General features: G+C 39.7%; 1 annotated feature.

The window, feature by feature from the left end:
* Nucleotides 4,386–4,565: an enhancer, noted in NCBI's record as "active region_1249". NCBI's record gives its function as "activates an Ori minimal core promoter by ATAC-STARR-seq in GM12878 lymphoblastoid cells {active_cell/tissue: GM12878}" and the evidence as "EXISTENCE:reporter gene assay evidence [ECO:0000049][PMID:35858748]".

Raw genomic sequence — 11,956 nt, forward strand, 5'->3', positions numbered from 1 at the left:
CATCATTCTGCAATGAAAACACAGGCATCTTATTGAAGAAGGCTCAATGAAAGCCAAAAGTTAGGTGAAATTTACTTAAACCTTCATTATATCATACAATTGTAAAAGATGAGATTCAGAGTATATATGGAAGCAATATCACATTCTACTTTTGAAGAAGAATGAGAACTTGTATAGGAAAAAGAGAATCCCATGCAGCAAATGAAAATATATCAGATTGTTCTGAAGACTGACAGGTACAGGGCTTTTTTGATAATAATAATAAATACATTAATAGGACCTCCTGGGTCAAAACTGTACTGTTTTATTTAATCCCCACTAACCTAATCCTTGTAATAGCACTGTAAAATCTTTATAATCCCAGTGTAAAATGGGAATTAATATTCCCATTTATGGAGGGAGGAGGTGAGTTTCAAAGATATTAAGTGATTTGCCCTAGTTCATACGGCTAGTAAAGGACAGAGCCAGGATTTGCACTCAAGTCTATTGACTCTAAATTGTAGAATGGCCAGTAGGTGAACTGCTTTTCTTCTATAAAATATCTTCACTATGTTACCTGGAAATAATTGCATGCCCTTTTTATAGAGAGTGACATTCTGGAGAAAATGCCCTGTGATCAATAGAAACAATTTGAAAATTGCCTTTTCTACTTGCTGCCGGGAAGAACAGTAATTAGTGACAGGGTCCAGATTACCTTCAGGAGTGCAGAGCCAAGGCTGTCTGGCTGCAGGAAGAGCTATGCTTTTAGTGAAGAGACACTTAATAAAAGCCTAGTGATTGATTCATTACTACCCTTGTCTGAAGCTGGAGCCTTGGCTAGTGAACACATTCATCTCCACTGGTAGAATCCATAAGATTTGTCCCTGGGCTTTACTGGTGTTTGAGGAAAGAGGCAGGAGGGAGCAGAAGAACAGAAAAACCTTATTTTATTTAGCACAGAAATTGAACATTAAAATGATAATGAAAGAAGGTGACAAAAATAAAAGTAAATGAAAAACAGCATGCAGTGAGAGTCTGGGTAGGAGACAAAGAAGGAACCTCATCTGCAAATCACACTTAGGATGTTCAGGTGTACTAAGGGCTGCCTAAATATCTATTTGAATAAAAAATCACCAGACCCTCTGAGGGGAATTTAAGAATACTAGCCAAAGTCAGAAAGTACTGCTGTTCTTAAAGTAGGGGGTGGGAGGCTGCCTCCAATCTTGGAGATAGAGCTGGGCAGGGCAGGCTATTGTTGGTCATTGAACATGCCCTCGGGGGTTGAGATATCTGAATTCAGTTCTTTCTTGTGAGAGGTTAAGGAAAACTCTTGGAGAGGCCTCTGAAAAGCCTCTGGCCCAACATTTGGGGACTCATGCTGAAGAAAAGGGTCAATAAGAAAACCAAAGGAGCAGACTCAAGGGATCTCAGTAAGAACTACAAGACTGTCGGGGAAAGAGAAACTGTTGTGTGGTAGTGGCTTTGGGATTAAACGAAGTTCAAATTCAACCCTGCCACTTAAAGCTTTGTGGCTTGCAACAAGTAATTTAATGTTTCTGAGCCTCAGTTTCCCCATTTGTGCAAATGGAAAGAAGCACCTCTACCTTGTAGGGCTGCTGGTGAATGTCAAAGGCCTGGCTTAGTTCCCAGCAGCTAGTGGTACACTGAGGTTAATCCCAGCAATAGAGGCCAGGCCTGGCTGTGGAAGCAGCAGCAGCAGAGGTAGCAGAGGGGACTGTGATTAAGGGCGCCAGTTTTCAGAGTGAACAGCACTGGGAGCAGTAACAGGTGGAAGACTCTGGTGTATATTGAGCCACAAGGGACTCTACCTGAAGGAGGAAGGCATTTGGCTGGGTTGGGGCCCTTGAGTGGTATGGGCTGGAGTCTGGAATGAAAGGTCTCTGAGATCATCCATCATCCCCAACATGTACCAGGACTCGACAAATGTTACTCCTTAGCTTCATCCCTGCCCCTATATATTCAAGAAACAGTAGTTTAGCCTATGAAGACAAGTGGTACCTACATGGTACATAGAAAGATTAAATGATAGCCACCCTTCTTATCCCCATTCCTGTTCAGCTCACCAGCATAATATCTGGCCACACGTCATTGCAAACTCTGCTTTAGCTATGCTGATCTAATCACGGCTGCCCAGGTGTTACATGCTTTTTCTGTGTGTTGGCCTTTGGATTTGCTATTCCGTCTTTCTTGAACACTTTCTCCTCCTTACTACCCAACTACCAACCTCTTTGCCTGCCTAGCTTCTTCTAGATACCCTTCAGGTCTCAGATGCCACTTCTCCCAGGGTCCACCCCAGCCCTTCAAGTCTGGAATAGCTGCCCCTTTTAGGTGCTCTCAAAATATTTGTTATTGCCTTATCAGAATATTTATCAAATTGTATTGCACCTGCCTCTTTATGTGTCTGATTCATTCAAAAACAGTAAACTATGAAAGCAGGAACAAGTTTGATCTTGGTCACCATGGCAACCTCAGCACTCAGCACAATGCCTGGAACATAAGTAGGTGCTTAATAAATGTGTCATGAATGAATGGATGGTGCCACCACCACCTCCACTGCTTGTGTGATGACACAGCATAGTTAATGAAAACACACAAAGGATTTCAATACAGGAAGAGCCACTTCAGCTCAGACCCCAATTAGGAAGTCCTTTTCCGGGGAAAGTGGGGCAAGGAATTTATGCCCAATGATCACCACAGCCTGGAGATCACAGGCACAGCTGACCAAAGAACAAAAAGCCGAGGAAGGGCAGAATTGAGTATAGAGTCGGTAAGGCAGCACAAAGTGTTCATATGGCTAATAAGACAGCCTTCCAGTGCAGCACAGCCATCCCAGACTGGAGATCATGCAAGACATGTGCGGGACAGGTCGGCGCTCCTTTGCAGGACCCTGACTGGACTAAGCAGAGTTGGCCCTTGAGCAAAGTTTGAGTAATCAAGTTTACTGGCAATGAGTCTGTATGAAGGGAACCAATCATCTGATCCTGGAGCAGGTGGAACAAGCCTGGCATGGGACACCCAAAAGCATCCCTGCACCCAAAGAGCAGATAATGGCCTGGACCATAACCGAGGCTGTTCTCCCCCAGTTCTCTAATCAGATAAATCAGAAGTAGGTGTCAGAGCCCCATTGTGTAGAATGTAGGGAATGGTGCAGAGATCTCATACGGTAAAATACAAAGGGTGCTCTCTTCTGGAGAGTGGGCAGGTGGCTGAAAGGACAGGCTTTGGGCTCTGCAGTCAGGCAGCCCAGGCGGAATCCTTGTTCTGCCACATATTAGCTCTGAACAGAGGCAAATTTCTCCATCTATAAAATGGGAATAATAGTAGTGTCCATCTCTGAGGATTGATGTGAGGATGAGAAAAAATATAAAGAACTTAGAAAAGTGTTTTACCAATAATCAGCACTCGATTAATCAGCACTTATTAGCCATAATTATCATTGATAAATAATAATCACTCGTCAAATTTTGCATTAAAGGATAAAGTTACTGACAGAGATAAATACCTAGAATGCACACCAATCGAGAGCTGGAGTGGTCAAATCAAAGGGCTGCTGCTATGATAAGGCCTACTTCTGCCTGCCTACCCTCAGGTACATTGGCCTTCTTTAAATGTTCATGATTACTGACACTCACCCCTTTGGTTGTCCTTCCTCAGGCTTGTATGGTTTGAGAAGTTATAAAAGTGAATCGATTTCTTAGAATAATACTCTGGAAAAAATATTAGCAGGAATAATTTCATTCTTTCTCTTTGTTTCTTTGTTGTTTCTTTCCCTTTCTTTCTTTCTTTTTTCTTTTCTTTCTTTCTTTCTTTCTTTTTTTTCAGGGTCTTGCTCTGTCACCCAAGCCAGAGTGCAGTAGCATAATCACAGCTCACTGCAGCCTCAACCTCCAGGACTTGAGTGATCCTCTCACATCAGCCTCCCAAGAAGCTGGAACTACAGGTGTACACCACCGTATCTGGCTAACTTTTGTAGTTTTTTTTTAGAGATGGGATTTCACTATGTTGCTTAGGCTGGTCTCAAACTCCTGGGCTCAAGCGATCCTCCCACCTTGGCCTCCCAAAGTGCTGGAATTATAGGCGTGAGCCACCATGCCCAGCCAGGAATAAATCTTTACCTGGCTCTACATAAGAAAAATCCCCTTTCTACACATGTCTTAAAATGTAAAGGGATTACTTGTCTGCAAGTAATGTTGGGGAGAGCTCTCAGGGATTTTAAATGACTCATGTATTTTCACTTCTGCAATAAGATAGTAAGTGTTCTCTTATTTTCAGGCCATAATGAAAGTGATATAGATGTCACTACAGGTCTAGGGGTTCTTACCTTAGAGTCTTTTAGCCTCCAGAAGTCTCAGTGGATGGATTTGGGTTGGAACTGTGTACTCCATGAAGTTGTAACTAAAAGTTTATTTGTTTAGGGGAGGGGAGAGGTGAATCTTTCTGGGGAGAGCATTCGTAGAATTTCATTAGATTCCAAAAGGCCTCATGACTTATAAAAGTTTAAGAACCATTGCTCTGTGTAATTGGTGTCCAAATTGTTAGGATCACTTTGATCAAACTGACTTTGCCACGGTCTGACAACTAGCCACGAGGCGGCAGGAGGGAGAAGACTTGGTCATTTCAGTGTACAACTGCAATGGAACAGTATTGTAAAAGTGAAGGCTCTAATGTCTGATTGCCTGAGTTTAATTTCTGCCTCCACCACCTGCTAGCTGTATGGCCCTAGGCAAGTTACTTAATTTTTTTTGTTCCCTCCCCTTTGGATCTGTAAAATATGGTAATGACAGCAGCTGTTTCCCACAATTGTCATGAGGTTGAAAGTGACTTGCACATGGTGTCAGTAAATGTTAGCTCTTATTATTATCTGACCTGCCAATTTGACCAAAAAAAAAAAAAAAAAAGGATACTTCAAATCAGTTCCATCAGTAAGTGGTAGGGAGACATCCTTGTTTATCTCTTTCTTTTTTTCATTTTTAGAAACAGGATCTCACTATGTTGCCCAGGCTGGAGCATAGTGGTTATTCACAGGCGTGATCCCACTACTGATCAGTACAGGAGTTTCATCTCTTTTTGATAAAGAAGACTGAGGATCCCACACAGGTGCACACTGTTTTGTGCTATAGATGTACAACTAATAAAACAAATCCTTGTCAATACTAATTGTATTTTACATGAATCCTAGCTGCTTATACACATTGAGGGCAAATCGTTATATAAAGCTAATATTCTTCTCCACCCATGGGCCATACTTTTTAGCTCTGTGAGTATTTATGCATGCTTCCTTTTAATAATAGCACTCACATATTTGTACTTACATGCACCAGGTACCAAATGAATTTCTCCATTTTCTAGTTAAACACTGAGGCAGAAAGAAGTACATTTCTCTGGCCAAACTACCAAGATTTGACTTCAAGTCTCTGTGATTTTAACCACCAATCAACACTCTTACCCTCAGCCTAGAATGCCCTCTCTCCACAGAGCATGGTTCATTCCACATTGGACCTTCTCCATAAAACTTTCCCAATGCCCCCAAGAGGAAATGACACCTCTTGCCTTTGAACTTCCAGTGCACTTTAGGTGAAGAGTTACTAGCTGCTGAGGTCACTCTTTATTATTCTCATGTGTGTACATGTCTTAGTATTCCCAATATCAATGTCTTGAAGGCCAGATTGAGTCATCTTTATATTTGCCCATAGCACTTGACAGTGCTTTGAAAATTGTCATAAATTATTTGTCCAAGAAACAAGCTTCCTCATTTTGCAGATTAGTTCAGAAAATTTAGGTCATTTTTATTTTGGCAGGAAAAACATAGTTTTCAGCTCTAAGTCACTCATCAATGGAGCCTCAGGTTCATATTTTCAAGTTACAGGATGAGGTGGAGGGGTATAAGGAGATTCAGCCTATATCAGTACATATTTTCCTACAAGAACTCTTATAGGGAAAAGAAATAAGGTTGATTTTTGTGGCTTGTGAGCTCAAAATCATTCTCAGAAAATAAAAATCCTTGTGAAACTACCCATGGGCCTCTATATTATTAAATATTAGCAGAGGTAGTAATATTATAACACAGTTTCCAACTACCTAAACCTTTGGCACATATTCATTTATTTTTTACACAGAACTGCCTCATTTTAGAGGCTTCTTTTAGCTATAGTCTTATGTTTTTGATTCTAGCATGTCATTCTTCAACATCAAATTTCTCTACTCTGCTGGCAAAGGCAGGTATTAAAGGTTATTGTTGTGTTTAATTTTAGCTTTTCCCAATACTTACATATGAATTTTCATTTGGTGTATGTGTATGTTCACCAAATGTGTGTTTATGTATGTAGTTTTAATTAGAGAAAAATGACTGGAAAATATTAGGAAAGATAAGGGGAAACTTATAAATATAAATTTTAAAATGACTAGAATTTTCTCTCAAGTCTTAGAAGAGCTTCTAAAGCATCATCTCTCTTCTATATAATAGAGAGAAATACAAAAATACTAGCTATGTAGGACCCATCACATATAGATAAATATCAATTCAGTTGCAGTGTGCCATGATAGAAGGAAAAATTATTCATGGTGACAGCCTCTTTTGTCTTTGGAATGTGGTAGAGAAGTTCTTCCAATTATTTTCCCAGGTTTCTCCTTTGCCTGCTATTTTTTGGGCATTCACGAACAAAAAGACTTCAGAGAAAAATGCTGAGCTAACATGAGAAAAATGAGCACTCATGTGGACAATCTTAATATCACTTTGGTAGATTTTAACAATACACAATAATGATAAGAACAATAATGGTGGCTAATCTTAGTGACAGCTGGTATCTTTTTGATTGCCTAGGATCTACTAAATGTTGATGGGAAAATACTGATATCCAGTAGGGAAAGGCATGTTGCTTTAACCTGCAGAGTGGCCTATTATTGCTATCATGGGGGAAGATATATGTTATGTTCAAAGAGTGACTCTAAAGGGATTTGTCAAGCAGATGTTTCAAAAACAGTATAACAACTCATCTGCATAACTATGGCAGAAACGGTAACCTGTTACCTAACAAAGACTCCATTTACAGGAGTCTTCTTTTCATTCTTTCACCTACTACCAAGAAAGAGAAACTCATCGCTAATTGCCAGGAGAAATACTAATTTTCTTGCCAGCCTTTCCACAGCATCAACAGGCTTAGGGCACTGAACCTGGAACAAGGCCCACAGGAGCTTCTAGGATTAGGGGCAGAAGATCCCACAATAAAGAATTGATGGAGACCACCAAAAACGCAGCTGAAAGAACATTTTGCTGAAATTCATACATTGAAAGATGTCTGTTTCCTAATGTATGTCTTGAAAATAAAATAGCAACAACCATTTATTAAGAGTTTGATATGTCAAGAAATTAGCATATATTATTTCCTCTACTTCTTGACAAGCCCTGTAAAATATGTATTATTATCCAACTTTGACCAAAAAAGACAGTAGGGTTAGGTAATATCCCAAGGTCACATAGTTACTAGGTGACAGAGACAGGATGAGAGCTCAGCCCATGTGCCCCTAGACGACATGTTCTTTCCCACTACATCATAGGCCCTACACCCACTTTGATGGCTGGCTCCTGCGTTCATTAGGGAAAGAAAGGAAGCATTTATTCTGATTCCAGCAAAGCAGGGAATTGGCCATGCTGCTGTAGAAAGTTGCATTTCTATACCACTTAACCATTTTTAAAATTTCCACCCTCTGGGATCGATATTACCTTATCTACCTCACAAGCACCCTGTGATTTGGTAGAGAGACTCTATTTGAAAATAAACTAGCCCAGAGAGGTCAGGCACAGTGGTTCACTCCTGTAATCCCAGCACTTTGGGAGGCCAAGGCGGGTAGATCACTTGAGGCCAGGAGACCAGCCTGGCCAACGTGGCAAAACCCCGTCTCTACTAAAAACACAAAAATTGGCTGGGCATGGTGGCACACACCTGTAGTCCCAACTACTCAGGAGGCTGAGGCAGGAGAATCGCTTGAACCCAGGAGCTGGAGGTTGCAGTGGGCCGAGATTGCGCCACTGCACTCCAGCCTGGCAACAAAACGAGACTGTCTCAAATAAAAAAAAAAAAAAAAATTAGCCAGATGTGGTGGCGCATGCCTGTAATCCCAGCTACTTGGGAGGCTGAGGCAGGAGAATCACTTGAACCCAGGAGGTGGATGTTGCAGTGAGCCGAGATAGCACCATTGCTCTCCAGCCTGGCCAACAGAGAGAGACTCTATCTCCAAAAAAAAAAAAAAAAGGAAGAAAGAAACTAGCCCAGAGATGTTAAGTGAGCTACCCAAAGTCACACAGATGACAGGCAGACTGATACAGTGGAAAAAGTCCTGCTGAGATGGAAAAGACACTGTGCTAGGCAGAACTTACCCCACACCAAGAGCTGCCCCTGCACAAACCATCCCTTTTTCTAGCACTTCAGTCATTTTTTTTTTTTTAGTTACAGAGGATCCTGAACTCAGATGAATTCTGTGTTTATGGTGGGAAGGTTTAAGCTGTGAAACAGGAGGAAAATCTTAGGGTGGTTGCCCCTTTGGCTTCATGCCTTCAACAACATGGCACTCATTTGAGTGGAACACAGACTTTTATCTGATAAAGAGCATTGAAAACACAAATAACATGGGCTTGAGGTCATTTAAAACCTCACCAAAGGACTGATTCCAGTCTATCTGCAAGGAAAAGAAAGTTACTTTGTCATGGAAGGAAAGGAAACAAGTGAGAAGGAACCAGCATTTATGAGAGTCAGTTATGTGACAGGGACTGTGCACATAGCCTCTCACTGAATCCTGAGAGCACTCTATGAAGGTAGAAATCATAAGCCCCACCCTTAGAAAAGGAAGCTGAAGCTCAACATGGTTGATTATTTGATGGAAACCACGTGGCGAGTGAGAGGCAGCCATGGACCCCAGGTCTGGCTGATTCTTCTTACTATGCTTAGCTGCCTCTCTGACTTATAAACATTGTATTAAAATTCTTTCTAATGGGATTTTTACCTACTATATACCCACTTTTATATATCTTCTGATTAAATTCATTCTAAGTTCCATATAACCCCAAAATAGATGTCTCTGAAAACTTTTTCTTGTTTTTTTCCCCAACTCAATTACAGCAGGATCTGAAAACTTTTTCATTCAATCAATATATTCACTTGTATTTATTTAGCTCCTTCTAGGTGACAAGCACTGTGGTATGTGCTGGAGATGCAACAGTAAACAAGCCAAGCACTGTTTTGCCTTCATAGACTAGAATAAACTTCTTCTGTAAAGAATCAGAAGTTAATTTGTATGCTTTTTAGGTTGTGGGGTCTCTGTTGCAACTAAACTCTGCCATTGTAGCATAAAAGCATCTATAAGTAATACATAAATGAATGGGTGTGGATGTATTCCAATAAAACTTTACAAAAATAGGCACAGGAGTTTTCTGACCCCTGCTCTCTAGAGGAAGACTCAGAAAGGTAAGCAAGTAATTAACAACACATTGTGATAATTACTCTAATTGAGAAAATAGTGAGATCTGGGAATATATTGGAGGGACACCTAAGTCAGATTGGGAGAGATCAAGGATGGCTTCCAGGAAGAATTGGCATCCTCAAAGCAACCTGAAGGATGAGTAGGAATTAACCAAACGTAATTTTCTGGTCCTCTTCCACTTACTGTATTTATGTTTTCCTTTAACTGCATTTCTCGGTAACAATTCTTTTAATCTTCAAATTCTTTAATCTATAAATACTTGAATCATTTGCTTGTCTCATTCCTTTTCATCAAAATAATTCAAGTCCTCTCCCCATCCTCCCACAACAAGTACATCAGCTTTTTCCTTCAGTATGTCAACTTCTAGATTTTACTCAATCCATCAACAGTCTTCTAAAAATCTGAACAAAAATAAGCTGAACTTTAACAGATAAATTTTATGGTGTGTAAATAATACTTCAAAAAGCTATTGGAAATAAATAAATAAAGCCAGCATCCTGACTCCCAGGAGTCCTCAAAGGACAACTGAACTTTGATGAAGCCAGTAGAGACCAGGTTCTTGAGAAACCCAACTTTATCTCAACCCTCAAAAATCCTCACAGAATGTGAACTCATAGCCAAAAATCAAAAGTACATACAATAGCAAGGTATTATAACAAAGAGCTTCAGAAATAACAAATAGCAAAGTCTGACCTGCAAAGACTTCAGGTATTTGAATAAGATACAAAAATATAAAATAATATATTTAATATTTTTACAGAAATAAAAGAAAAGATTGGGTGTACGAGCAAGAAACAAGACCATAAGAAAGACCAAGCGAATTTGAAAAAAAAAAATAGAACTTGTAAAAATGCATTAATAAGTGGATTAAGAAACACATTAAACATAACTCAAAAAAAGAATTAAAATATATGTAAGTATAGTTTGTCAATGTACAAATAAAAAGTAAGATTTTTCAAGAAAATATTTTTTAAAAGAATTAGTTATTTGGAAGAGATAGATTAGGTAACAGATTAATGCTGCCAAAGAGCGAATTAGAGAACTGGAAGACAGATCTAAATAAATAATCATAAGGATTAATGCAGACATACAAGGAGCTAGAATATATGAACAACACATAAAATGTACTAGAAAGATATAATAAAGAGAATGTGGAAAAGGCACTATTTGAAGAGCTCAAGACTGAGATTTTCCAGAATAATTGGGTGACTACAAAACTTCAATCATGAAATTAAAAGCCCATTACCTAGAAAGAATTCTTACTTGTACACTATATAGTACTTGGCCAAGTTACAATGAAGGCGTTTTCTACTGTTTTTAGAGGCAATCAGGTTATGAAGGAACTATGGCACTTACATAACATTATATTTCTTGGGCTTCAAAAGCAGATAATATTATGAAAAACATTCTGCACAGTTTGCATTTTCCTCACTCACCAAATTCATAGGTTTTTTTCCAAATTACTTCACTGTTTTTAGTAAAAACTGAAACAGACTGGACTCTAGGTTTTAGGTAATGTTGAAATCCCTGGAGATCTTCAGTGTCTGGTACAATATTAGACACAGTAGTGATGGCATAAGAAAGGTTGTTGACTGACAACCAGCATGATCAGGTTAGCAATAATGGGAGATAAGGAAGTTTATTGAAAGTGACATCTGAAAGAAACCAACCTAACAGTGTCTTCCCAGACCTTGAAATAAAATTGGATTTAGCAAATATCATTCTAATACAGATGTCCCCCAACCACCTTACAGGAAAAGCTCAGGTTGTAGTAAGAATAATCTTAGCTAACATTTATGAATCACTTACTATTACCAGGCACTGTGCTAAGTGTAATAAGGAGAAGAAAAAAGGAATGATTTTAAATCCTACTCAACAAACTGTCTTTAGCCCTACATAACTGAAAACAATTTGCTTACATTCTCTAAATGCATCAGTGAATCCTACTGGTATGTTTCTATTATTAGTTGTAATACCAAAAAGTCTCACAGGTAAATAAATAAGTAAATAAATAAAATTATTTTGGCCTGGTGCAGTGGCTCACACCAGTAATCCCAGCACTTTGGGAAGCTGAGGCGGGTAGATCATCTGAGGTCAGGAATTTGAGACCAGCCTGGCCAAAGGTGAAACCCCATCTCTACTAAAAATACAAAAATTAGCCGGGCCTGGTGGTGGGCACCTGTAATCCCAGCTACCCAGGAGGCTGAGGTGGGAGAACCACTTGAACGTGGGAGGTGGAGGTTGCAGTGAGCTGAGATTGCACCACCGCACTCCAGCCTGGGCGACACAGCAAGACTCTGTGTTTACTTTAACAGAGAAGAGTAATCTCTCTCTCTCTCTCTCTCTCTCTCTCTCTCTCTCTCTCTCTCTCTCTCAGTATACATACATACATACATACATACATATATATATATATTTGAGACAATCTCACTCTGTCACCCAGGCAAAAGTGCAGTGGTACCATCATGGCTCACTGCAGCCT

Source organism: Homo sapiens, chromosome 1 (genome assembly GCF_000001405.40).
Source record: "Homo sapiens chromosome 1, GRCh38.p14 Primary Assembly".
Classification (NCBI taxonomy): Eukaryota; Metazoa; Chordata; class Mammalia; order Primates; family Hominidae; genus Homo; species Homo sapiens.